Source organism: Homo sapiens, chromosome X, assembly GCF_000001405.40.
Source record: "Homo sapiens chromosome X, GRCh38.p14 Primary Assembly".
In the NCBI taxonomy this organism is placed as follows: Eukaryota; Metazoa; Chordata; class Mammalia; order Primates; family Hominidae; genus Homo; species Homo sapiens.
The window spans coordinates 15,598,066-15,622,242 of NC_000023.11; the positions used below are offsets into that span (position 1 = coordinate 15,598,066).

General features: G+C 39.3%; 1 protein-coding gene and 1 long non-coding RNA gene across 6 annotated transcripts in view, besides 27 other annotated features; one reads left to right on the forward strand and one right to left on the reverse strand.

Annotated features, from left to right (window-relative positions):
* ACE2 (angiotensin converting enzyme 2) overlaps positions 1–9,146 on the reverse strand; it is an 89,015-nt gene extending 79,869 nt beyond the window's left edge. For 3 of the 5 annotated variants that reach the window (NM_001386259.1, NM_001386260.1, NM_001371415.1), the window contains exon 1: positions 2,661–2,895. In NM_001386259.1, coding sequence (NP_001373188.1) covers positions 2,661–2,846 — 186 coding nt within the window. In that variant the 5' untranslated portion in view covers positions 2,847–2,895. Of the gene's footprint in view, positions 1–2,660; positions 2,950–3,890; positions 4,094–9,071 lie in introns of those variants that run through there. The other 2 variants (NM_001389402.1, NM_021804.3) reach the window with 2 other exon arrangements.
* Positions 1,520–2,719: an enhancer, noted in NCBI's record as "BRD4-independent group 4 enhancer chrX:15617708-15618907 (GRCh37/hg19 assembly coordinates)". NCBI's record gives its function as "activates an origin of replication core promoter dependent on BRD2, P300/CBP, MED14 and CDK7 cofactors, and independent of BRD4, by STARR-seq in HCT116 cells {active_cell/tissue: HCT116}" and the evidence as "EXISTENCE:reporter gene assay evidence [ECO:0000049][PMID:35650434]".
* Positions 2,846–3,027: a promoter, noted in NCBI's record as "-161/+20 fragment used in the reporter construct". NCBI's record gives its function as "minimal promoter region that drives ACE2 transcription in reporter assays in human cardiac fibroblasts (HCFs) {active_cell/tissue: HCF}" and the evidence as "EXISTENCE:reporter gene assay evidence [ECO:0000049][PMID:21864606]".
* Positions 2,846–3,383: a promoter, noted in NCBI's record as "-516/+20 fragment used in the reporter construct". NCBI's record gives its function as "drives ACE2 transcription with maximal activity in reporter assays in human cardiac fibroblasts (HCFs) {active_cell/tissue: HCF}" and the evidence as "EXISTENCE:reporter gene assay evidence [ECO:0000049][PMID:21864606]".
* Positions 2,846–4,935: a promoter, noted in NCBI's record as "2.1 kb -2069/+20 fragment used in the reporter construct". NCBI's record gives its function as "drives ACE2 transcription in reporter assays in human cardiac fibroblasts (HCFs) {active_cell/tissue: HCF}" and the evidence as "EXISTENCE:reporter gene assay evidence [ECO:0000049][PMID:21864606]".
* Positions 2,847–3,152: a promoter, noted in NCBI's record as "-202 promoter fragment used in reporter gene constructs". NCBI's record gives its function as "drives ACE2 transcription in transfected HCT116 colorectal cancer cells and HEK293 embryonic kidney cells, where activity is increased by remdesivir treatment in HCT116 cells but the MEK inhibitors VS-6766 or Trametinib can attenuate that effect {active_cell/tissue: HCT116 | HEK293}" and the evidence as "EXISTENCE:reporter gene assay evidence [ECO:0000049][PMID:16297991, PMID:32793908]".
* Positions 2,847–3,201: a promoter, noted in NCBI's record as "-252 promoter fragment used in reporter gene constructs". NCBI's record gives its function as "drives ACE2 transcription in transfected HCT116 colorectal cancer cells, Calu-6 lung cancer cells and HEK293 embryonic kidney cells, where activity is increased by remdesivir treatment in HCT116 and Calu-6 cells but the MEK inhibitors VS-6766 or Trametinib can attenuate that effect {active_cell/tissue: HCT116 | Calu-6 | HEK293}" and the evidence as "EXISTENCE:reporter gene assay evidence [ECO:0000049][PMID:16297991, PMID:32793908]".
* Positions 2,847–3,300: a promoter, noted in NCBI's record as "-454/-1 proximal promoter fragment used in reporter constructs". NCBI's record gives its function as "drives HNF1-responsive ACE2 transcription in reporter assays in HEK293T embyonic kidney and betaTC3 and 832/13 insulinoma cells {active_cell/tissue: HEK293T | betaTC3 | 832/13}" and the evidence as "EXISTENCE:reporter gene assay evidence [ECO:0000049][PMID:24100303, PMID:29082356]".
* Positions 2,847–3,300: a conserved region, noted in NCBI's record as "conserved_region; -454 to -1 proximal promoter region that is conserved in placental mammals". NCBI's record gives the evidence for it as "EXISTENCE:sequence similarity evidence [ECO:0000044][PMID:24100303]".
* Positions 2,847–4,064: a promoter, noted in NCBI's record as "-1119 promoter fragment used in reporter gene constructs". NCBI's record gives its function as "drives ACE2 transcription in transfected HCT116 colorectal cancer cells and HEK293 embryonic kidney cells, where activity is increased by HNF1beta transactivation in HEK293 cells and by remdesivir treatment in HCT116 cells, but the MEK inhibitors VS-6766 or Trametinib can attenuate the latter effect {active_cell/tissue: HCT116 | HEK293}" and the evidence as "EXISTENCE:reporter gene assay evidence [ECO:0000049][PMID:16297991, PMID:32793908]".
* Positions 2,885–2,890: a transcriptional cis regulatory region, noted in NCBI's record as "R3 bases mutated in the -454/-1 promoter construct". NCBI's record gives its function as "negatively regulates activity of the ACE2 -454/-1 proximal promoter in transfected 832/13 insulinoma cells {active_cell/tissue: 832/13}" and the evidence as "EXISTENCE:site-directed mutagenesis evidence [ECO:0005528][PMID:29082356]".
* Positions 2,922–2,948: a protein binding site, noted in NCBI's record as "R4 probe". NCBI's record gives its function as "binds COUP-TFII and other factors in 832/13 insulinoma cells {active_cell/tissue: 832/13}" and the evidence as "EXISTENCE:protein binding evidence [ECO:0000024][PMID:29082356]".
* Positions 2,928–2,934: a transcriptional cis regulatory region, noted in NCBI's record as "R4 bases mutated in the -454/-1 promoter construct". NCBI's record gives its function as "positively regulates activity of the ACE2 -454/-1 proximal promoter in transfected 832/13 insulinoma cells {active_cell/tissue: 832/13}" and the evidence as "EXISTENCE:site-directed mutagenesis evidence [ECO:0005528][PMID:29082356]".
* Positions 2,982–3,008: a protein binding site, noted in NCBI's record as "R6 probe". NCBI's record gives its function as "binds FOXA1, FOXA2 and FOXA3 in 832/13 insulinoma cells {active_cell/tissue: 832/13}" and the evidence as "EXISTENCE:protein binding evidence [ECO:0000024][PMID:29082356]".
* Positions 2,994–2,999: a transcriptional cis regulatory region, noted in NCBI's record as "R6 bases mutated in the -454/-1 promoter construct". NCBI's record gives its function as "positively regulates activity of the ACE2 -454/-1 proximal promoter in transfected 832/13 insulinoma cells {active_cell/tissue: 832/13}" and the evidence as "EXISTENCE:site-directed mutagenesis evidence [ECO:0005528][PMID:29082356]".
* Positions 3,024–3,031: a transcriptional cis regulatory region, noted in NCBI's record as "R8 bases mutated in the -454/-1 promoter construct". NCBI's record gives its function as "positively regulates activity of the ACE2 -454/-1 proximal promoter in transfected 832/13 insulinoma cells {active_cell/tissue: 832/13}" and the evidence as "EXISTENCE:site-directed mutagenesis evidence [ECO:0005528][PMID:29082356]".
* Positions 3,083–3,109: a protein binding site, noted in NCBI's record as "motif 3 probe". NCBI's record gives its function as "binds HNF1alpha and HNF1beta in 832/13 insulinoma cells {active_cell/tissue: 832/13}" and the evidence as "EXISTENCE:protein binding evidence [ECO:0000024][PMID:24100303]".
* Positions 3,090–3,095: a transcriptional cis regulatory region, noted in NCBI's record as "HNF1 motif 3 bases mutated in the -454/-1 promoter construct". NCBI's record gives its function as "important for HNF1-responsive activity of the ACE2 -454/-1 proximal promoter in transfected 832/13 insulinoma cells {active_cell/tissue: 832/13(+HNF1beta)}" and the evidence as "EXISTENCE:site-directed mutagenesis evidence [ECO:0005528][PMID:24100303]".
* Positions 3,128–3,133: a transcriptional cis regulatory region, noted in NCBI's record as "R12 bases mutated in the -454/-1 promoter construct". NCBI's record gives its function as "negatively regulates activity of the ACE2 -454/-1 proximal promoter in transfected 832/13 insulinoma cells {active_cell/tissue: 832/13}" and the evidence as "EXISTENCE:site-directed mutagenesis evidence [ECO:0005528][PMID:29082356]".
* Positions 3,153–3,179: a protein binding site, noted in NCBI's record as "motif 2 probe". NCBI's record gives its function as "binds HNF1alpha and HNF1beta in 832/13 insulinoma cells {active_cell/tissue: 832/13}" and the evidence as "EXISTENCE:protein binding evidence [ECO:0000024][PMID:24100303]".
* Positions 3,160–3,165: a transcriptional cis regulatory region, noted in NCBI's record as "HNF1 motif 2 bases mutated in the -454/-1 promoter construct". NCBI's record gives its function as "important for HNF1-responsive activity of the ACE2 -454/-1 proximal promoter in transfected 832/13 insulinoma cells {active_cell/tissue: 832/13(+HNF1beta)}" and the evidence as "EXISTENCE:site-directed mutagenesis evidence [ECO:0005528][PMID:24100303]".
* Positions 3,171–3,197: a protein binding site, noted in NCBI's record as "motif 1 probe". NCBI's record gives its function as "binds GATA4 in 832/13 insulinoma cells {active_cell/tissue: 832/13}" and the evidence as "EXISTENCE:protein binding evidence [ECO:0000024][PMID:24100303]".
* Positions 3,171–3,197: a protein binding site, noted in NCBI's record as "motif 1 probe". NCBI's record gives its function as "binds HNF1alpha and HNF1beta in 832/13 insulinoma cells {active_cell/tissue: 832/13}" and the evidence as "EXISTENCE:protein binding evidence [ECO:0000024][PMID:24100303]".
* Positions 3,181–3,186: a transcriptional cis regulatory region, noted in NCBI's record as "HNF1 motif 1 bases mutated in the -454/-1 promoter construct". NCBI's record gives its function as "important for HNF1-responsive activity of the ACE2 -454/-1 proximal promoter in transfected 832/13 insulinoma cells {active_cell/tissue: 832/13(+HNF1beta)}" and the evidence as "EXISTENCE:site-directed mutagenesis evidence [ECO:0005528][PMID:24100303]".
* Positions 3,347–3,382: a transcriptional cis regulatory region, noted in NCBI's record as "-481/-516 region deleted in the -2069/+20 promoter construct". NCBI's record gives its function as "important for activity of the ACE2 -2069/+20 promoter in human cardiac fibroblasts (HCFs) {active_cell/tissue: HCF}" and the evidence as "EXISTENCE:reporter gene assay evidence [ECO:0000049][PMID:21864606]".
* Positions 3,366–3,370: a transcriptional cis regulatory region, noted in NCBI's record as "bases that cause loss of -516/+20 promoter activity when mutated in the M1(-516/+20) to M7(-516/+20) reporter constructs". NCBI's record gives its function as "important for activity of the ACE2 -516/+20 promoter in human cardiac fibroblasts (HCFs) {active_cell/tissue: HCF}" and the evidence as "EXISTENCE:site-directed mutagenesis evidence [ECO:0005528][PMID:21864606]".
* Positions 3,774–4,355: a conserved region, noted in NCBI's record as "conserved_region; -1509 to -928 distal promoter region that is conserved in placental mammals". NCBI's record gives the evidence for it as "EXISTENCE:sequence similarity evidence [ECO:0000044][PMID:24100303]".
* Positions 4,015–4,041: a protein binding site, noted in NCBI's record as "motif 4 probe". NCBI's record gives its function as "binds GATA4 in 832/13 insulinoma cells {active_cell/tissue: 832/13}" and the evidence as "EXISTENCE:protein binding evidence [ECO:0000024][PMID:24100303]".
* Positions 4,816–23,419, forward strand: ACE2-DT (ACE2 divergent transcript). Its single transcript, NR_126564.1, has 2 exons — positions 4,816–4,916; positions 22,947–23,419. It is a non-coding gene; the product is annotated as an ACE2 divergent transcript (long non-coding RNA).
* The last annotated feature ends 758 nt before the right edge of the window (positions 23,420–24,177 follow it).

Here is a 24,177-nt window from a genome sequence, read left to right on the forward strand (position 1 = left end):
ATTTATTCCGTATCCTTACCCTAGGGCTCCCAAGCCTAAATAAAACAGATAGCTTAGTAGTTATGCAAAGAATCAGTCAGTTCATGCATACCTATCAGATAATTTAGTGGTTGATAGCTATATTTAGACTGAATGATGAATGGAATGAAGCATATATAGCAGCTTACATAGCCCCAGGCTTGAAAGGAACCATTACAGATAAAATTGGTGGCATTCCACACTACCTCTGGGCAAAGGCAGGGGAGAAGCAACTAAAACTGCAACAGTTTCTGTAGCCATACAAGGGAGTTTTGGGAGTAAGGAACACGTTGTTTGAGATAATCACAAGAAATTAAAACAGTCTCTAAATCCCATCCGTAACTGCAATGGATAGCATATTCCCAACTTGAGAGAGATCCTTTGTAATTTCAAGGACTGTAGGCATAAAATCCTAGATTATATTTTAAAACATTCAAAAAGATACTCTGCTCTTTTTGGCCCTAACTATATGCATAAATTAAATACATGATTTATCAGGCCATAGGTCTGGTTGTCTTTACCCAACTTGTGATAATTGTATTTAAACTATTAAAATCCTTTTGTAAGAAGTTGTTTGAGATTTAAAGTATTGACAACTTATTTTCTCTTTTTCTATAGCTCACTATCACCTAAACCAGGCTATATACTTTTAGTAACCTCTAAACCATTTCTTCCCCTGTAGGTGTGAGAGTTCCATGAAGACAGAAAATGAAAAACTGAATGGAATCTTTAGCATCTATCCAGTACCTTGGAGCCCAAATCTCCCAGGAAAACTTTCACCCTTGGCTCCCATATGCTGGCTCAATTTCCAGATAGAGCTGTCAAAACCGCATCAGGTTCAAAGACAAAAGCTGCCTTGGTTACTTTCTAAATATGCCCAGGTACTTGCATATTAAAAAAAAAAGTCTTCCATTTAACAAAATAGGTAATGTAAATTATAAGAATGTGAATTCCATAACTCAAGCTTAGGATTTAAGAAATTATTTTTTCTTTATTTTAGATTGGGGGTTTAATATTTTAACATTTAAAATTTTTAATCTGTATGAACATTTTTATTTTTTCCTAACTTTATCTCATGGGAAAAAAAGTGCTCGCCCCTGAATTTTATTTTATGTGCTGCACAGTGATCTTCCCCGACTTGTACCTGTGTGTAGGTGTTCATGTGTATTAAGGGGCATGGGACAGACTCATTAGAGACAGGGATGAAATTTCCTTGGGTATATACAGAATAGCAGTTTAGAATTACCCTGGTCTGAGTTCACTGTGACTCTATCCCTGGAGACAGGAATAGGTTCAGAAATGGGGCATGCCCAAGACCCTAGGGACCCTGGCAGCAGGGGGGCTGAAGAAGCTCTAGAGACCACGCAAAGAGTAAGTGTGGTAGGCTAGGTGCAGTGGCTCATGCCTGTCATCCCAGCACTTTGGGAGCCTGAGGCAAGAGGATCACTTGAGCCCAGGAGTTCAAGACCAGCCTGGGAGACAAAGTGAGATCTCATCTCTACAAAAAAAAATGTTAAATGATGCGAGAGGATCATTTGAGCCCAGGAGGTCAAGCTGCAATGAATCATGATCATGCCACTCCATTCCAGCCTGGGCAACAGAGCGAGACCCTTCAAAAAAAAAAAAAAGTATGGGCCTCATGCTCTCTCTTCACAGCTTCTGGTAACTCACCAAGAAATAGCTACAACGTGTCCTTGATTTTGTTTTTTGGCGAGGAATTGCTTGATCCTGAAAGTCTTGTAAGAAAACATGATGAGAAATGGTCAACCACACATACCACAATGGCAGAGAAAGGGAGAGAACTTTGGAAACCTGTTTTAACCAAGCTTTTTTTTCCATATCTCTATCTGATGGACTTCTCCACACTTCTACATCAGCAGCTTTATGACACTATACTGATCAAGTTTGGATGCCTTCTATTATTTTGAGGTATATTCTCACAGCTTGACATAAGGATCACCACTTAAGGATACTGTTTTGGGATCTGTGAGAGAAGAAATTCCTAAATCCTTGCACTTGTTAAAGCATCTGGCTTTCCCAGAGCATTCTGATATTTGTCAGAACTGGTTTAATCATAGTTTTTTTGTTGTTTGTTTTTGTTTTTGTTTTGGAGGGCTCTGCCTGGATTCTGTGACCTTTTGGAGTCCCTTGGAGGTCTGTGACAAAGAGGAAAGGAATTCCCAAGTCCAGCCTCACCCAAGCCCTGATTAGCTTAATTACTAGTTCTTTCACTAAGCCTCCAGTTGCATTTTTCAGTTAATATATCATTTGTAGAGAATCTTTAGATATTCCTATTGATATTGTAGGCTAAAGGAAATTATTAACTCAATAACTTATGGCATTTCCATGAAATGCTTTGAAATCCTGACTGTGATGAGAATTATGGTGGTAACTTTATAAAGAATATTCTCTTGTTTCCAAGCATCTGGATTGAGACCAGTGAATTATTTTGTAACAATTTTCTGAATGAACCCCAGGGTCAATTAAGTTTAGTTATCTGGGACTCCAAAATCAGGGATATGGAGGCAAACATCCAATCTCACAACTCAGAGCATTTTTTTTGATTTCCCTTTTCAGTTTCACGGGCAGTAATCTAATCTTTAAGAGGCAACAAATAGCCCAATAGAGCCATGAGAACTCACCATGTTTTGGACATTCTCTTCAGTAATATTGGTGTTATAATTCCAAGAAGCAAGTGAACTTTGATAGAACAGGTCTTCGGCTTCGTGGTTAAACTTGTCCAAAAATGTCTTGGCCTGTTCCTCAATGGTGGACTGAGCAGCAGTTACAGCAACAAGGCTGAGAAGGAGCCAGGAAGAGCTTGACATCGTCCCCTGTGAGCCAAGATCACATCCACTGAATGACTTTCCCTAGACTAAAACCTCCTCATGAGATTTTCTCTCTTATCAGCCTTTGAACTTGGGTTGGGCGCTGAGCAGGAAAGACCAAAAAAAGAAAAAGAAGAAGAACACAGTAAACAATCTGCTGAGCCAATATAAAGTTCATCCTGGAGAGGACAGATATGTAACAGATTTTAGAATAATTTTTTAAAGTGAATCAAATAAGAATACGTTATTCTTTAATCCTAGAGAACCTTACCTCTCCTGTCACTTTATGGCCAAATCAAAACCGGTACTTTTGGTTAATATTTTCCTAGAAAGCTGTTAAAGATACACGGAAAATGTTATAATTTTACAGTGACCAAAGAGGTCTAGAACTAGGGATCATGAAGATAATGTTGGTGTTTGTATGGTTTTCAGACAATTTCATTAATAGGTTATCTCACATTTATTTTTATTTCAAGATCATATTCCCAGAAACTCTCTACTTGGGCAACATTTTCCCTTCCAAATACATGACTTTGCCCTTGTCTTTATGGAATTCATATTTCTGATCAGTTTTTTTTTTTTTTTTTTTTTTGAGACTGAGTCTCGGTCTGTCGCCCAGGCTGGAGCACAGTGGCGCGATCTCGGCTCACTGCAAGCTCTGCCTCCCAGGTTCACGCCATTCTCCTGCCTCAGCCTCCCGAGTAGCTGGGACTACAGGTGCCCACCACCACGCCCAGCTAAGTTTTTGTATTTTTAATAGAGACGGGGTTTCACCGTGTTAGTCAGGACGGTCTCTATCTCCTGACCTTGTGATCTGCCCAACTCGGCCTCCCAAAGTGCTAGGATTACAGGCGTGAGCCACTGTGCCCAGCCATTTCTGATCAGTTTTAATTTCCATGGCCATTTTTTAAAATTATGACTACTCTCCACTCCACAGGTCAACTCTCCTGATCTGCCTTTGCAAAACTTAAAAAAGCTCATTTCCTATTTCTCACACTGGTTCTGTGGCTGACTTCTTTGAGTGCCTCCTTCTCCTTCACTTACCTATTCAAAACTCAGTCAAGGTCACGTGGAAGTAAGAAAGCCTCCACATGGTATGAAATCCAAAGAGTATCTATGTCAACTCCTGATCCTCTGTAGCCATGGGATCACAACAACATAGAATTCAAAGAGATTTTAGTGGTTATCTTGTCAAATTTCAGAAGCGAGCTCAGTGTCCTCATTGCCAGAGTGTATGTATGAGTGCCACAGATCAAAGAGAGGAGCACTTTAAATGGCAGGGTTCAAGGGCCTACCTGACGATGATTGTGAAACTCTGACACAGAGAAAATATTTCTTCACCCAGAAAAACAAGTCTTCCAGGTTCAGGTGACATTGCAATAATCAAGCCTTTAAAAAAATGTCCACTGCTTTTCCTTATTCCAAAGTTGTGTATATTATTGTAGAATAGGAAAAAAACAATTATAAGTAACTATTCAAAGTGCTTTGTGTTATAATATCTCATTTGAGCATCACAAGAAACCTATAGGCAAATATTTTATCACCATTTTATGAATTATGAAACTAAGTTTAAGTAAATTGCTATATCTCACTCAGCTAACAAATGATGGAATCAGAACATGGATCTATGTATTCTGATTCTAGAGTATAGGCTCTTAACTAACTTGTAGTCAACAGTCTAAAAGCAATAGTGGAGGCATAGATAAAATGTGACAGAGGGCCTTGTGCCTCAGTGAAGATGACAGATTTAGTTACACTGCATCAAAAAGAGGTGGACTCTTACTTCCCTTGATGTGAATCAAAATATACTCTCCTTTTAAAAAAATAAAGCAGCTCACAAATATAAGTAATAATAATAAAGAATTTTAAATGAAAGTGAGATGAGGGTAAAAAAAAAAAATCAGTGCAGAAATTTCAGAAAAGCTCCTCCCACATTCCAGGAAACCTAGATCCACTCACTCCTTGCACACAATAGGAGAAAAAACAGGCAAGAAAGAGGACAGCACACGAGTATCTGAAGAAAAGGTTGAAATGTTACTGTAATAAAAGCGGAAATAAATTTCTACACAGGTAAGTTCCTAAATGAAACACGTGGGTTTAGTGGAAAAAATGGGAGTAGTCCAAATTCAATTCGCTGAGGCAGAAAATACGATTAACTTGATCAAACTGAAATGGAGAAAGCAAGATATAAAATCTGAAAGCTAAGAATAAATGAACAAGGAGCCTGGGACAGCAGTGAGGCAGGCAGGAAAATGCTAGAAGCCAAGAAACTTTGAGAAGCAAGGGAAAAGGGAGAATAGTCTACAGTGATTCTGTAGAAAAACTAGCCCAGAATGGCCAACTGCAAGCACTGACTGAATTATTGGAATTTTTGTTCACACTTTTTTGAGAAGATATCAATGTTCTGATAGTTCCCCAGAAGCGTTCTCTCTGAGCGCATTCCGAGAATGGAAAGAATTCACTGAAGACTCAGGAGATGAGACCCAGAAAAACAATTGGTCTAAAGGAATGTATTGTCTTTGAGAAAAATTGGAGAATCAGAAAAAATTAGAAGACCAAAGATGCAGGAAAGATGTTCTATGTTTCAAAAAGATTGGAGGAGGGGGTGGATTTCATAATGGTAAAGGGAAGTTTGACCTTAACACCTAGTAAAGCTATAAAGTAAATTTTTTTTTTTTTGAGACGGAGTCTCGCTTTGTCACCCAGGCTGGAGTGCAGCGGCGCGATCTCCGCTCACTGCAAGCTCCGCCTCCCAGGTTCACGCCATTCTCCTGCCTCGGCCTCCCGAGTAGCTGGGACTACAGGCGCCCGCCACCATGCGCAGCTAATATTTTTGTATTTTTAATAGAGACGGGGTTTCACTGTGTTAGCCAGGATGGTCTCGATCTTCTGACCTCGTGATCTGCCCGCCTCGGCCTCCCAAAGTGCTGGGATTACAGGCATGAGCCACCGCACCCGGCCTAAAGTAAAATTTTTAGAATGTGATTTGCACTTGGAAAAATATATCTCTGGTCCATTAGGAATTCACTAGGAATAAGTCAGATGCTGCCTGCCCTATCTCCTCTCTGATAGAATACAATAGTAAAAAAATATATCCAAAGACGTAGTGTATCTTCCTTTTCAATAAGGGATTTAACAGAATGTAAAATGCTATGACTAGACCCAAATGTCCCCTGAAACAATTACACAGTACAGGATTAGGCAGTCCTCTGGTAAACAACAATTCATGTCCAAAACAACAAGAATCTTGCTTCAATCATTGTTTATTGAATACCTACTATATGCCAAACACTATTCTAGATTTTGAATGTAAGCTAATAAATATTGTATTATATGAGGTGACAATAGAAGGAAGACAAAAATAGTGATAAATGTCATGACTTATAATAAGCAAGAAATGGAGGATAGAGAATTATGGGGTGGGGAGAGGGATTTTCTATAAGGAGGGCCTCTCTGAGAAGGTGACGTTTGAGCAAAGACCGGAAAGAAGTGATGAAAGTTGTGCGGATCTCTGGGTGAAGAAGTTTTCCTAGGGAGAGGGAGCAGCAAGTGTAAAGGATGTAGGCAGATTTCAAGAACATCAGAGGTCTTTGTGACTGGAGCTCAGTGTGCAGGGGAAAGTGGCAGGAGGTGAAGTCAAGGAAGAAGCTAGGGTCACACCAGGGAGGTCTTAAAGACAATTAACTGTGAGACTTCAGCTTTACTCTCAGCAACATGGGAAGACACTGGAAGGCTTCAAGCAGAGAAGTGATCTAGTAGAAGCTTTAGCAGGGTCACTTTGGCTGCTGCTTAGAGAATGGACACTAAAGGGGTAAGGATGGAAGCAGGGAGGCTAGTTAATGAGCTACTGCAGCAGCCCAGTCAAGCTGGTTGAATAAAAGCTTAGTATGAGCTTCAAGATCCAACTAGGAGGCCCAGTAAAAATTACTGGGCCTATAATTACATCTTATACTATATTAGACTTTGCTAATATAAGCATTAGATACAAAATAATCTAGACTATAACATTCATTTCTGTGAACCACAATTTTAGAGACGCACAAGAGAGCATCCAGAGGAAAATAAATAGGAGAGCAGATGGATCTAAAATAATATAATTTGGAGAATGGTTTAGATATGGAAGAGAAGACAGGGTGGACAGCTTTCTTCCATCATGGTACTGCCATTTAGAAGAAGACTTAGCATAGTGGATTTACTCTGCCACTTGTTAGCTGTGTGACCTTAGGCAGGTAATATCCTCCCTGCACCTAATTTATTTCAAGGCCAATGATAGTTTTATATCCATTTCATAGGGATGTCATATTACTTGAATTAATACATAAGAACACAGAGAGTAATGTTGTAAGCCTAGTAATAAAAGCCACAGAAAATGAAAGGAGCTGTGTAATAATTAGAGAACTTCCACACTGGAATGTTTAATCAAACCATCTGCAAGGTCATCTTTCAGAGACACTGCAGCAGACAGAGACTGGCTGGGAGTTTGACTCAAAGGTCTGTTTGGACTATAGGATCCTGCATTGTAGGAGAAGTCTGCTAGTTTGTGCTGAAACAGCAGGATGGAGGAGCTCACCAATGGAATGAGTAGAGTCATATATGAAAGGAAAGGGGAGTCAGCCAGTAGTCTACATGAGCCCAGCCATAGAGAACCTCTCAGCGTGCTTTCATCACCCAGTCATGGTCAGGTCCTGGTATAAAACTTCCTACATACAGAGAAGAGAAAACTTGAGTCTGTCACGCTATCTTGAGGAAGAAGGGGAAAGTCATAAAGGTAAATGACTCCCTCTCAATATTTACAGATGTTGTATTTGTTGGTTGCATATGCTTTGTACCTGCTCCTGTATATAAACTCTTCACAACAACTTTACAGGTAGAAATAGTGAGATCCATTTTATAATTAAGGAAACCAACTGTTCCCATGATTAATTCAAACTTCCACAACTGATAGGCAATGGGGCTACATTTTGATCCCAGATTGCTTAAGAGACCTTTTCTCTCCACAGAGTCATGGGTTCAGTTATCTGCTAACTTCATGCATGTCTAATAAGTCCTCATCAATCTGTCATATTCTGAGAATAAGCAGGTCCCCATAAGCAAAATTAAAATGTACTGCTTTGATTACACCAGTTATACATTTTTAAACCGTTTTAGTTAGAAATTTTTCTTCAATATATTCCATCCCGATCGCGATGCTGCCTGGACATTAGTTTAGGGTTATATTTCAGATGACTCAGTGTCATCATCTTAAATAATATTTACTGGCTAAGCTATAATGTGACAATGTCTTCAAGGCTTTACATTAAATGACTCAACAGCTTTATTGCTATTAATTCTGCTGTTTCTGCACATTCTGAGTTCACAGTCACAGTATCAACTTTCAGTAGCCCTGCTCTCCACAAGTCCCCTCCCTGTTTCTGATCTGCTATCTGCTAAAACCTAAATGGAAACTAGATAACCATGGAGTTCAACTAGAAACCTCCCTTTTCATAGGCTGAAATCCGAGGGTGGGTCTTTATTCTGCTAGAGCAAAGTACATAGACTTTGAAATCCATATTTCCCTTACTGTTCAACTTTTTATATCCTTCCAACTGAGTCACAAATGCTGAGGTTGCCAAATAGCTATAGGAGAAACCTCTTCCAGTTCCCCAAGTTGGGTGGATAACTTTGGTAAACATCAGAAAAGAAAGGATGTTTTGTTCAATTTCTTATTGATTAATACTGCTGACAGAACAAGGAAGGGTATCAGGAACACAATGCATAGAGAAATTCAAAACTTTGCATGGTCAAGAACTATTTGCATTCAGTACAATTGATTTTGACCACATGTTTATCACACAAAGTGAATTTATAAGTGCTTTATAGAAAATAAATAACTAGTTGGGCTTTCAGCCCAAAGGAAAAGCTAAAGCTCTTTCCTGTTTACATTTTTAGTTGCATAGCAGTCCCTTTTTTCCTAAATGTAAAAAGTAAAGTAGAGGTTCCTCTTCAAAGACTTTCCTCCCTGTCTAATTAGGAATAAATAATAGCTTCTCTTAGAAGCAAAATTCATTCAAAAACCTGTGCTAACATTCTTAAATATCTGCTAGCCATAATAAAAAAAAATCAATGTACTTTATGTTCTTAGCTCCCACAATTTAACCTAAATATTTGCCCTGGCATCCTTAATACTGCTCCAAACAAGCATTAGGTCATAGCCTGTTCCTCTTCCTTATTTGAAGGGGTTTTTACCTTTCTCAACATTCCACAAGTTACTTCCTCCTTCCTTTGTTCTCCTCTGCCTTTGCCTCTTTTAAAAAGTTCTAAGTTGCTAGCCAGTCAAGACAAACACAAAATGTGAGGTCCCGTTCCAGCCAATAAGAACCAGACACAACAGTAGGGTAGACGCGTCAAGTTATAAATAACCCTATCTCCTTTGTTCGGTATACTCTCGTAACAAAACTACTGGCAAGTGGACCCTTTCTACAGAAAGTATAAAAATAGCCTTACTAAAAAAAATAAATCTATGTTCAAATACTATTTATTTATGGCACCAGAAAACAAACATTTCAAACACTAAAGATACAGCAAAGATAATCTTCATTAACCAAACTGATAAACAGTTTCAATAGACAGAGTTCAAATTTGTGAGAATAAACATTGGATTCCAAGAAGGTTATACTGATTGTTACTGGCCTGAATTTATGATAGTACAGTGCCTGCCACAGTAACCGTAATTTATTTTGATACCTATACTGTACAAAATATCAGATAGCACTAGAGCAAGGAACTCACTAGTATAAATTTACATCTAAGACTTTAGAAGCAAAACATGAGCATTTATCCTAAGTGAGATGGGATGCATGGTAGAATTTGAACAGAAGAGTTACACGATATCACTTACATTTAAAAGAAATCCTGGGCCGGGCACAGTGGCTCACACCTGTAATCCCAACACTTTGGGAGGCCACGGCGTGAGGATCTCTTGAACCCAAGAGTTCAAGACCAGCCTGGGCAACATGGTGAAACACTGTCTCTACTAAAACTACAAAAAATTAGCCAGGTGTGGTGGTGTGTGCCTGTAGCCCCAGCTACTTGGGAGGCTGAGGTGGTAGCATCATGTGAAACCAGGAAGTTGAGGCTGCAGTGAGCCGTGATCGCACCATGGCACTGCAGCCTGGGTGACAGGAGTGAGACCCTGCCTCAAAAAAAAAAAAAGAAAAAAAAAAAAAGGAATCCCTCTGGCCACTACATGAAGAACAAACCACATATGGGGCAAGACTACAGTCAGAGAGACCACTGAGGAAGCTGTTGCAATAATCCAGATGAAATATAATGGTGGCTTGGTGGTAACAGTAGAGTTGATGAGACGTGATTGGATTTTTAATACATTTTAAAAGTAAAGCAAACAAGCTTTGCTGGTGAATTGGATGTAGGCTATGAAAGAAAGAGTCAAAGATCACTCCGGGTTTTTGGATTAAACAGCTAGAAGGATGAAATTAACATCAATTTAGATGAGAAAGATTGCTGGTAAAATAGGCTTAAAGGGAAGACTGAAAGTTTAGTTAAGTTTATGATATCTATTAGCAACCCAAGTGTAGATGTTGAGAAGGCAATTGGATATACAAATCTGGAGTTTGGCAGAGAGGTCAAGGATGGAGATACAAATTTGAGAATTGTCAGCTAGAGATGGTTACTCAAATATTGTCTCTCAGCTAAAACTAAAAAGAAAATATCTTACCTCTTCAAAATCCCAGTGTACTGAAAAGTATTAAAGTCTAGACCTCAGGAGGGAAATTGGAAGGATAAATAGTGGGGGAAAGTTACTTGAAACAACTCTCCTTAAAAGAGACATCTGTGAACAGAGACCTCAGAAATAAAACCACACATCTACAACCATCTGATCTTTGACAAACCTGACAAAAACAAGCAATGGGGAAAGGATTCCCTATTTAATAAATGGTGCTGGGAAAACTGACTAGCCATATGCAGAAAACAGAAAGCCGACCCCTTCCTTACACCTTATACAAAAATTAACTCATGATGGATTAAAGACTTAAATGCAAAACCCAAAACCATAAAAACCCTAGAAGAAAAACTAGGCAATACAATTCAGGACTTAGGCATGGCAAAATATTTCATGACTAAAACACCAAAAGCAATTGCAACAAAAGCCAAAATTAACAAATGGGATCTTTTTTTTTTTTTTTTTTTTTTTGAGATGGAGTTTCACTCTTGTTGCCCAGGCTGGAGTCCAATGACTCGATCTCGACTCACTGCAACCTCCGCCTCCCAGGTTCAAGTGATTCTTCTGCCTCAGCCTCCCTAGTAGCTGGGATTACAGGCGCCCACCACCATGCCCAGCTAACTTTTTGTATGTTTTTAGTAGAGACGGGGTTTCACTATGTTGGCCAGGCTGGTCTCAAACTCCTAATCTCAGGTGATCCACCCACCTCAGCCTACCAAAGTGCTGGGATTACAAGCGTGAGCCACCATGCCCAGCTCAACAAATGGGAACTAATTAAACTAAAGAGCTTCTGCACAGCAAAAGAAACCATCATCAGAGTGAACAGGCCATCTACAGAATGGGAGAAAATTTTTGCAATCTATTCATCTGACAAAGGTCTAATATCCAGAATCTACAAGGAACTTAAATTTACAAGAAAAAAACAAACAACCCCATCAAAAAGTGGGTGAAGGATATGAACAGACAATTCTCGAAAGAAGACATTTATGTGGCCAACAAACATGAAAAAACGCTCATTATCACTGGTCATTAGAGAAATGGAAATCAAAACCACAATACGATACCATTTCACACCAGATAGAATGGCAGTTATTAAAAAGTCAGGAAACAATAGATGCTGGCTAAGCTGTGGAGAAATAGGAACGCTTTTACACGCTGGTGGGAGTGTAAATTAGTTCAACCATTGTGGAAGACAGTGTGGCGATTCCTCAAGGATCTAGAACCAGAAATACCATTTGACCCAGCAATCCCATTACTGGGTATATACCCAGAGGATTATAAATCATTCTACTATAAAGACACATGCACACGTATGTTTATTGCAGCACTATTCACAATAGCAAAGACTTGGAACCAACCCAAATTCCCAACAATGATAGAATAGATAAAGAAAATGTGGCACATATACACCATGGAATACTATGCAGCTATAAAAAAGAATGAGTTCATGTCCTTTGCAGGGACATGGATGAAGCTGGAAGCCATCATTCTCAGAAAACTAACACAGGAACAAAAAAACAAACACCACATGTTCTCACTCATAAGTGGGAGTTGAACAATGAGAACACATGGACACAGGGAGGGGAGCATCACACACTGGGGTCTGTCGGGAGGTGGGGGGTAAGGGGAGGGAGAGCATTAAGACAAATACCTAATGCATGCAGGCCTTAAAAACTAGATAATGGGTTGATAGGTGCAGCAAACCACCATGGAATATGTACACCTATGTAACAAACCTGCACGTTCTGCACATGTATCCCAGGACAAAAAAAAAAAAAAAAAAAAAAAAGCCATCTGTGGAATGAACAGGAAGGAGAAACGGGAGTTTCAGGATCTTGGCCAGAGCATTGTAGTCCTCACTGGTTTATGGCAAAGTAGAAACATCTCAGAAGAACAGGGTGGTTAAGTTGAGGCAAGGTGCCAGTTCAGGAAAGTCAGCTGACATGACAGATAGTCAAAGTCAAGGGCTTAGACGCAATCCAGGTCAAGGCTGCAACACTGGTGGGCATTTAAGGCATAGAAGACTTATTGTGGAACCAGCTCTGGCATCTCAGCTAGAGTCTGAGGGTGACCGAAGAATTTTAGACTTTGGTCAATGCTTCCTAATTGACTCTAAATATCTTAGAAAACCCCTTTATTTTATTGGCCTCCACCTCAGTCTATGGATTGTGTATGAGTCATGTTTTCTGATCCAACTGGAAATGTTCAACAGTAGTTGTCTTCTTGAGGTCTAGCAGGCTCATCTTGGACACCTCATTGTATTCCTCCCTCCTCGTCTTCTAAGGGATTTGTCTGGTCTGAGCCATCAGTGGAGCTTGGTCAAGGTTAGTTACAGACTCCAACCTCAACCTTCCTATTCACTCGTAGAGTCCCTTCTATCAAGTTGGAAGAAGAGACCTCACAGAGAACTAACAGAACAATAACTCAATAGAGCCAGTTTTACTAAGTCCAGCATTGGTCCCAGGAATGCTGGTCAACGTTATAAAGTCCCAATTTTACTAAACACTGTTTTTGCCTCCTGTCAATCTGACGACTTGAATTTTTTTAAATATTATGATTCTCTTTTTTAATGAGTCAAGAGTAAAGCTCAAGCTACCCAATCAACTAATTAAAATTTATCCTCCCTATCACCACTACATACACATATAGTGGCACTATTTATACAACTTCCATCCTTTATTTTTTTTCATGACACCACCATCTGCTACACGGTACTCATAATTACATGTTTTACTAATGTATTCCTTTATTATCTGTCTCTCCCCACTAAAATATAAGCTCCAAGAGGGCAGAAACTTTTCTCTATTTTGTTCACTGCTATATCTTCAGCTGCTTAGAAAAGTGGCTGGTGCATTATAGGTACACACAATAAATATTTATTGAATACAGACATTGTTCAGCAACTCAGTAGTAAGGAGGAAGAAGAGGGAAAGCTCAGTTGTCTACCCTGTGTGTAGCATAATTCATTTTCATATGGCATATTTCATCTGTTTATTTGCCCATCCACAGAATGTGATGGATAGAGATTAGTATCAACTGAAAAAAAGGTGGAAAAATTTTCTGGAACAAAATGAGATTTGGAAGCTATGATTCAAGTTACTATGGTAAAAGACGTGAGAGAAAAACAGCATGATTACTGTAAGTCAGGCATTGGGCTAAATGCCTTACATATGTTGTCACTGAATCCACCAAATGACCCTGTAAAAATGGTATTGTTACTACCTTCTCATAGATGAAGAAAATGAAAGGCCCAGGCGCGGTGGCTCAGGCCTGTAATCCCAGCACTTTGGGAGGCTGAGGAGGGTGGATCACCTGAGGTCAGGAGTTTGAGACCAGCCTGGACAATGTGGTGAAACCCTGTCTCTACTAAACATACAAAAATTAGCCGGGCATGGTGGTGTGCGCCCGTAGTTCCAGCTACTCAGGAGGCTGAGGCAGAAGAATCGCTTGTACCCAGGAGGTGGAGGTTACAGTGAGCCAAGATAGTGCCACTGGACTCCAGCCTGGGTGGCAGAGCGAGACTCCATCTCAAAAAAAAAGCGGGGGTGGTGAGAGCATAAATGAAGTTTACCTCAATCAAGCTGCTTCTTCTCGCAAGGTCATACTATTATTTACTAAGTAGCCAAGCCAAGTGTTGAACACTGGTTAGTCTTTTCCCTGAGCCAGATATCTCAGCCCACAGTTAATGTTTTAGGCAACAAGAGAAATGAGGACCCTCCAGCATTGTATGAAAAGAACCATATTTATGTTGCAACTACCATGATGCCAAAGCTCACTGATGACTGAAAGTGGGTGTCAAGGAATGAGGTCACAGCAATGGAAATCCCTCCAGTTGGTTTCACTAATAATTTTTATTTTATAAAAATGTATTCTGAAATTTATTCACCTACTTTTTATTTTAATATGACATTAATTCTTCACTCCTACCCAATGCTGGCCCATCTGTGGCCATAAACTAGAACTGATTTTCCCATAGTTGTGGTTATCAGAATCCCTAGATGGTGAGATTGTTCTAATTGGGATATCAAAGTGGAATATTCCATAAAATAATAGTATTCTAGGATATAAATATAAAATGGCATATAAAAATAAGTATTGTAGATCAAGATTCAGGACATGTAAACACTCTTTAAAGTGGGTCAGCAAAACATAGGGCTGGTAATTCTAGCACTGCTAATTTATTCCACAATCTGGAGGGCTCTGAACTCAAGAGGTTAGAATGCTATCAAGAGTCCATGCCATTCCTTGAGGAGCTGCTATTTATTAAGTGTGGTCCTAATAACCAGCCATTAACTTCAGCAAAGATGAGATAGTCAAGTAGTCACAGACACATGCAAAGAGGCCAGAATACTGGCTAAACCGAGAAGCTGTTTTGGCAGCCATGGTGGATGCATTTTTTTCCCAAACAATGTATCAAGAGAATTAGGATAAGATGATTATGACTTGGAGTTCTCAGACATGCCACTCCTGTTAACAAATTGTTATATTAGTACATCACAAAAATAATATGCCAAAAGTCCTGAGAGAGAAAAAAAATAATGATTGCAAAGACAGAATGGCATGGCAGAATATATGATAATTATTCTACAAAGTATAAAATTCTCTTTCCATTTGTGCCCCTCTATGACACACAATGTCCCAGATAAGAACTTATTAACACCAGTGGTGCATGAGAAATTGTAAGCTTCAAGGCTGGGAACTACTTTGGAGACATCAGATCTCTGGAAAGGTAGAAGGACCCGGGTGAGGCTCAGAGGGAAGCTTGCTGGTCTGGTCTATAGTAAGAGAAGGGATCTTAATTGGGGCTTTGAAGTTTTGCTCTAGATTATTCTATAAGACTGGTCCCCTGCCCAAGGATGCTATTGTTTATTTGATTGAAGGACTCCTTTGTTTTCCCTGTATATAGAACCTAAGCAAGTGGTTAGTGAGGGAGATGTGGGGGAAGATATCAGAGGTCATAGAACCATCTCATTTCCAAAAATTACAGACATAGGGAATGCGTAAGTTACTTTGTAAATTTTCAGGTGCTTAATATCTGAACTTCAAAGAGGACCAATCTGAAAGTCAAAAGTCAAAGGGTAAGGGCTTTAATTTTATGCCACATGAATACATGCACTTGAAATTATAAGAACTTTTCTGAGGTCTTATCGTGTATCATATTTTAAATAAAAATCCCTTGGTTTTTGATGATGCCAGAGATGTAATGTCACAATGATAATGTCACAATGAATATATAAAAACTAGAAGCTAAGTTGTGTAAGAGCTTTACTCCTACTTCATTCTTTGCCACCAAAGACCCTCCTAAGATTTACCAACTTGTCTTCAATCCCATCAGGAGTGTTCTTTGGCTGCAAAATATGTTCAGTGCCTAGAAATTACACAGTGCAAATTCTAGGGAAGCCTTGCATCTTTTCTGGGGACAGTCAAAATGTGGTAGGTCTTAATAATATTAATTTGGATTCAATGCAGAAAGGAATTGGGGCCCTGTTGCCTTGAAATTTGGATATTGCCATCATGCTACAAGATGTTATTTTTAGATCTTGGTGATTACCAGTGTTTTTCAACATTGGTTGAAAGGCAAACAAGGACTGAGCAACCTCTACAAGGATGAAGTAATGAAGCAATTATAAAAATTGGAAATTTGAGAACATACCTGGAGGAACTCTCATAGTGAGTGTCTTTCTCTGCTTAGCCTTTTCACTGGATTTGGTAGTTGGTATTGTGCAAAGCTTTTTTGACCTTCCTAGATCATCTTTATGAATTTTGCCTCAGTCTTCAGGGGAGCTTCCATGTTAGTACCAATATCATGCTGATGTCTCTACCTACTGACTACATATGAAATAACCAGATAAGAGAGGACAAGAGGAGGAGGAAATTCTGATAAGAGAGGAGAGAGTTCCCCAAACCACTATCCAATTTTGTATAGGTATATAGACCCCCCCAAGTGGTGTTAACAACTATTTACCCAATTTATGAGGTGGATGAGAAAATGCAAATCATGTAGAACATGTAATTTATGGCTCACACATCCTTGTGCTATTGGGAAATTTTATTCAGATGGCCCAGATAAAAGATAATGTGAATAAGCTTTGATCTATAAAATTATAAGAACTTCTATGATTTCAGAGATAAAAGAGGTCAAAGCGGGCTCATGGAGTCCGGCAGGCTTTCTGACGGAGATGAGACTCTGAATTATAGAGACTACTACTACCTCTAGCAATAATAATATCCAAACTTTGTTGAGTGATTATTATGTGCCAAACAGAGTTTAACTGCTTTACATGTGCTCCCTTATTAAATCCTCACAAAACCCTATGAGGTGAGTAATAGCATCATTCCCATTTTTTAGATGAGGAAACCGTGGCACAGAATCAAGGTCACACAGCTGGAAATCAATGGAACTGGGATTTGAACCTTAGCAATCTGTCCTCAGGCCCAGAATCTTTGTAGTCAGAAAGGGCTTTTTGAGAGAATTCTTATCAGAGACATGAAGGAGAGGGACAGTTAAAGCATAAGGAAGCATAAAAATCTTTGGTTCCATGATAACATCAAACTTACATGAATTACAAATATAGTTTGTCCTTGCATTTCTTATACTGCATTTTTTCTTTTTGATTTTCACTGAAAGGAGACAACTGGTGCTCTATTCTATCTTGGTAATAGGCTATGTTTTTCTCAGTAGGGTCAGAATATTCAGGATAGAGAGTAATTAGAGATCACAGACTCACAGATGACAACCTCAGTTGGTATGGCAGTAATTTATGCTCTTCAAAGCACTATATCAGAGATATAGAACAGGGGTTCTCAACCAGGGTGATTTTGTCTCCCAGGAGACATGTTTGGTTATCACACTGAGGGGAGAGTACTACTGCATCTAGTTGGTAGAGACCAGGGATACTACTTAACATTATACAATATGCACGACAGCCTCTCACAACCAAGAATTATTTGGCCCCAAATGTCAAGTACCAAGATTGAGGAGCTCTGATCTACATAGTGGTACAAACATAGTGTTCTCAGGAACTAACGTGTGTGCATGATTCCACCTCCCCACATCTCAGTCAGGGCCAAGGAGAATAGTAAATCACCTATTCCTAGTAGCAAAGCTCCCAAGGCATTCAAGCACGAAATAGCTAATCCTTTTGGACACGTATACGTATGTATAAGCTGTGGTCTCCATAACAAGTAGAAGAAATCAGAAATAGGCCAGGCACGGTGGCTCACACCTGTAATCCCAGCACTTTGGGAGGCTGAGGTGGGCAGATCACTTGAGGTCAAGAGTTCGAAACCAGCCTGGCCAATATGGTGAAACCCTGTTTCTACTAAAAATACAAAAATTAGCCGGGCTTGGTGGCACATGCCTGTAATCCCAGCTACTTGGGAGGCTGAGGCACGAGAATCGCTTGAACCTGGGAGGCAGAGGTTGCAGTGAGCTGAGATTGCACCACTGCACTCCAGCCTGGGTGACAGAGTGAGACTCCATCTCAAAAAAAAAAAAAAAAAAGAAAGAAAGAAATCAGAAATAACTAAATAAAACATAAAATATCAGTCCAGGTAATTAGCCCTGACTAGAACAACACAGTGGGGATAACTAAAACTTCAAGTATTTACTACATTCAGGGCACAAATGTACCTTACCTCACTGAGTGTTCACAACCACCTTAGAGGAAGTTGTTATTTTTCAAATCCTCAGCAAGGTTAGTAACTAGCTCTGTGTCATCCAGTAAGAGAACTGGGGTTTAATCTGTCAGTGTGTTTTCAATTGCAACCCCTGCCTCTTTCTATGGGATGTGGTAAAGGTTCCGAAGAGCTAGTAAGGTTATTAAAGAAGAAAATAATTATCATTTTAAAAAATAGATGAAAATGACAGAGTACTTTTGCCTTGAAATTTGTTGACGTCAGTACATAGGAGATATTGCCCAGATAGCTGTTTCTTGCAAGAAAAGAACAGGAGGAAATGTACTGAAAGAACACAGTGAAACCTCATGTTTAGTCTTCAGGGAGAATCACTTCACAGTTTGAAACATTGACGCAGACTACTGAAGGATGTTGTGTAATCTGCGTCTCTGGAGGGTTTATAGAATAGATGCTCTGCTGGGGAGGGTTTGAGTGTGGCCCTGACCAAGGGCAAGGACATGGGCTGCCAGGGCTCCACTCAACTGCTTCTCTGGTAATAATCCCTGACCACAGCCCAGTGTGGCCTCTTCCCCCGCCCCTCCACCATGCCCACTCCCACTTTGTGAGGAACTCAGTTCAATAGGCAGTCTAGCCCACCTTGCATTCCATCTCTAACAGTCTGATCTGGTAGGTCCTCTCTCTTTTCATTCCCAACCCTCCCAGGACTCCATCTCTCCAAGCCCTTTATAATGTTAGTTTTGAAGCGTTAGATCAAATTGGTAGATATATGGGTGTTCATTGTACTGTTCATCCAACTTCTCTTTATGTATGACAACTTTTATAATGAAAAATAGTAGGGGGTTCACAGGGGTTGAGAAAAGATTGTGTGGGGCCTGGTTACCATTTAAAGACTTCGGCTTCTACCCTGGGAGAGATGAGGAGATATGGAGAAGTTTGAGTAAAGGAATGATATGGTCTGGTTTTCTGTTTTAACATATGTCAGGGCTTTCTTTCTCTACTTAAACCTGGCTCAATACCAGGAGGATGAGGAGTGTTGTAGTTCTCGACATAGTCTTGCCAGAGTCTCTGAAATATGTCCTGCATTACTCACAAGAAAAGCATAAACAGCCGGGCACAGTGGCTCACGCCTGTAAGCCCAGCACTTTGGCAGGCCAAGGTGGGTGGATCACCTGAGGTCGGGAGTTCAAGACCAGCCCGGCCAACATGGTGAAACTCCATCTCTACTAAAAATACAAAAATTAGCCAGGCATAGTGGCATGTGCCTGTAATCCCAGCTACTCAGGAGGCTGAGGCAGGAGAATCACTTGAACCCGAGAAGCGGAGGTTGCAGTGAGCTGAGATTGCGCCATTGCACTCTAGCCTGGGCAACCAGAGCGAAACTCTGACTCAAATAAAAAATGAAAGAAAAGAAAAAAAGAAAAGAAAAGCATAAACAAGAAATGGCTTCAATCAAGGTATAGCACAGGAATAGCCAACAAACAATTGACCAGAGTGCTATGTAAATGCTAAGGCACAACTATAATCTGCATTTTAAAATGTCCAGTTGTGAAATACACCCAAATTGTCTAAGATTCTGATTTCTCTCTATGCCACTGCCCATGGTTCTGTGTTTGGTTTGGATCAATACTCACTCTGGCAACCACACTGCACATTATTCAGTCATGAGTTTGCAGACATTCCAATCCCAGTTCTTATTCTCCATTGAGTATACACCTGGTATGGTGAAGATGATATCTTCAAGTTATTCCAGGAAGAGGAGTTGATGACTGCCTTAGTCCATTTTGTATGTCTATAAAGGAATACCTGAGGCGGGGTAATTTATAAAGAAAAGAGGTTTTGTTGGCTCATGGTTCTGCAGACTATGCAAGCATGGCAACAGCATCTGCTTCTGGCCAGGATCTCAGGAAGTAAAAGCTTTTTGGATCCCGACCCAAATGGTGGAAGGGGAAGGGTGAGCAGGAGTGTCACATGGCAAGAGAGGGAGCAAGAAAGAGGAGGAGGAGAGGTGCCAGGCTCTTTTTAATAACCAGATCTTGCGTGAATTCACTACCATGCGGGAAGGCACCAAGCCATTCATGAGGGATCTGACCCCATGACCCAAACACCTCCTACTAAGCCCCACTTCCAACATTGAGGATCATACTTCAACATGATATTTGGAAGGGACAAGCATCCAAATCATGTCAATGACAAAGTATTTTTTAAATGGGCATAAGGTAAAAATAGAACAATAATAATTTAAAATAGAAACAAAAACAATCAATCACTATGAATCCTATAACACAACCTATGAACATTTTTAAATGCTGTATGATTTCAGGCAACATATTTAAATTTGCTTAGCCTCTGTTTCTTCTTTTGTTGAATGCAATTAGTAATACTTGCCTTATCCCTTTGGATGGAGATCCAAAGAGATATGATATCCATCCAAAGGGATAAGGCAAGTATTACTAATTGTAGTTAGAGTTAAATGAAATAATGAAAAACAGTAAGAATTAATGAATAAAATGAGACCTGTGAACAATACAAAGTAATATTGAAACTACTCAAGTCCACAAACTAAAGGAAAAAAAAGATTTATTTAGGAAACATATTTTACTTTATATATAAATATTCATATCCTCAATGACTAAACCTTGGAAGTTAGATAACCTATCCATCTGGAAAGACACATAGATCTCGCAGGAAGGTGGTAGAAGGGAATACGTAGATTTATCAGGTATCTATTTGAATTCTTAGCACAAAGATAAAAAGAACTATGAAACTATGAAAAAAACTGCCAAGTACATTGATTTCTAACCCCCCACAATACCCTCAACTTCCCACCTCTCTCCCCACAAAAGGACTCTAGCATAATCCTTGGGGAGGTTTTGTAAATTGTGTTTTGTTTGCTGATCTATTGAAATGTGCTGTGTCAAAGCAATGCGTTCAAAACTGTAACCTGAGGCTTTCTGCAATCATTGCACTACTAAAATGAACCTTGGTATTCCCCCTTTATAGCTGTACAGATGATAATCTAGTAAATAAATATAATATGTGATGGGAATTTAATAAGGGCCTCGATCGCTCTTGCAATGATGGCAGAGACATTAACATTGAGAAACCTCTATCACTTTTGAGCAAGCAGATTTTAGTTCTTACATTCATTGGTTTAAATTTCCTTTAGCTCTAAAAAGAGCACATTATATCACCTGGAATTGTCCCAAGTGAAAGCCAAAAGGCTTGTCATAGCAATAAATTGTTCCCCTGCTGGCTTATGGCTCTGTCCTCTCAAGGACCTTTGAGTTCTTGCTTACAGGAGCCCCAAGCAATGAAGAAATAGAACAGGTGAGTCATCCCCCACATACCTGGCAGATAAGTCAGAGGCACCAATCCTCAGTATAAGAGAGTCTAAGTAGCATTAGAATTTGACCAATCCACAAAGTTTTACCATGTTGACTAGTTAATTTAACAAAATAGCTTGTCCATCCATCAGATAAACTTTTTTTTAACTGAATTGATTGGGAAGCCAGTTGATTCAATAAATGTCAACTGGTGCAATGATAGTCATGGTCAGAAAAAAAAGTAATCATTTTAAAACATGGTCATCATTACCTGATTGGATGGAAGTTAATACTGGTGTAATTAGCTTTTCAATCTCTCTTGCACGTGCTCTCTCTCTCTCTCTGCAGTTTGTTTTTTGCAACTATACTAGTAGAGTTTTGCAGTGTCTTGTTTAATTTCTTTGTGTTGAAAATTCAAATAGATACATTACGCTCCCTAGTAGAGCAGATCAATGTGTGGTTGCATTTTTCCAGATGGATAGGTTATCCTACTTCTAAATATTTAGTCATGATAGGAACAATTATATATTCATATAGCAAAGTATTTCCCTTAAGTAAACCCTTTCCTTACTTCTTTATGGCCTCAGGTTGAATAATTTCAATATCAATTTTAATAAAGAAAAACTTCACTTACAGATCACATTTTCTTTACTAATTTTATGGTTTAATATTATTTCATTCTACTCTCACAATAACTCTTTGGGCATATAGAACAACTATTAGTTCCTTTCCTTTCTAAAGACAGTCTATTGATATCAAATGGGAACTAGTTCTTTCACTGGATTGCCTTCTCTCCGCTTTTATGAAACCTTGCTCACCTGGGGCCACTCAGTTAGTAAATGGTACTGTTAGGATTAGAATTCAGACAGTGCAAGGTAATGCTGTACATATGCTGTATATTCATCTACTCCAGTGGGATCTGGGATAGCATCCTATCACCAAACACTTGAATATTTCTGCATTCAGTAATATGATGGTATCATTTACTACAATAAATAAAGACCATTACACATAATAAATGAAGATAATAAAGAGCATTATGTCTGCTCAGGTCAAGTGTTGCCACCAAATAGTTTTTAGAGGTTTTTGGATTTTAGAGTTGCATATAAGGGATTGTGGATATGTTTTCCTCTGGTCCTCATGCTCTTTTTCACTATGTGAAGCAACCAGTCATTTAATATTCAAATAACTACCTACATACTTTTTTTCTCTTACTTCAAAGCTTCTCTGGATAGCAATCAAGCTATTGGTGGTCAGCAGACAGAACCATTAACCCCAAGTATTTTTTCCATTGTCTTCATTATGCACAAAATGCAATTCTGTTCTTTCTTTCACTACTGAGAGTTCAACTACACTTCACACAATATTACTCATAATTTTTCACCTGTTTCTTTCTTTCTCTTTCAACTTTTTCCCTAGCTTCTTTAGAAATGGTCCGGGAGAGAGACAGAAGAAGTAAAAGGATGAGGCCATATCCCAGAAGCCAAGAAGGCAGATTCTGTCGAAGAGGGTGACAGGGTGCCCTACACTGTAAAATGCTTCAAACAGATTTAGGAGAGTGAGGACCAAAAAGCTGTGACCTTGACAACCAGAAATTCACAGTGACCTTTGAGGAAACAGTTTTCTCAAGATGTGGAAATGGAAGTCAGAATGCAAAGAGTTGAGGAGCAAGTGCATGGTGGTGAAGCCAACCTATTTTTTAATTAACCAGGGTCAATGTACTTTAAAAGTCTTCAGAATGCCTGTAAGTTTCCTTTACTAGTTCCATGTACTTTCTTGTTTTCCCATAAAAATCTGGATTTGTGGCAGAAGAGAATGAAAAAAATTAAAAATTAAAAGCGCTGCTTTTCCTTAAGCACTGACAAAATACAATAAAAGCTGATTCTTATTAAGTTGTGTTCTCTTTTGCTTGTTTTCATTACACTGCTGGCATTATAACAGTTTGTATTCTAATATTTTATGTATAGATGTGCAATATTTCAGATATATTGTGAGATAATATGTTACTGTGATTTGGCCTGATGGCTGTATCAGCATAAACCTATTTATATAGGGAAATATCTTTCCTAAATTCCAAAGGATTGACCAGCAAACTAATAGCTTGAGGCATTGCCATTTTGTGGGTCAAAATGATTATATAGCAGTAATTTTATATAGTTCTACCTCACAAGTTTTCAAATGCAACCTTGAGACAAACTGAATATTGCCAAATACTTCATAAATCATTAAATGTGGCAGGCTATGAGCCAATGGCTTAGGATGACAAATGGAGTCCAGGGGACTCCAAGAACCATTAAGACATGAATCTTAATTAAACTTTTGCTAAATTTTGCAAATAAGGGCCACCTGTTCACTGTAGCAAGGCACTGGACAATGGCACCTTCCAGGCTTGCTTGCCTGTGGTGGCTAGCGCTCACCTCTGCTCTATGCCATGCCCAAGAGTTCTTGTTCCACCCTTTCCAAAGGTCTTGGGTATGCCCTAGCTCTGTTGTTCTGGGATCCTACTGCCAGATTGGGTCACAAGACATCAGAGAGTTGAAAAATGTACCCTCTCTGGATCTGATTAAATGTCTTCTTTCATCCAACACCTCACACGCATATTTATGTATTCACCAGTTTTCAAAAAATATAAGTGATATCAAGGGGTAAT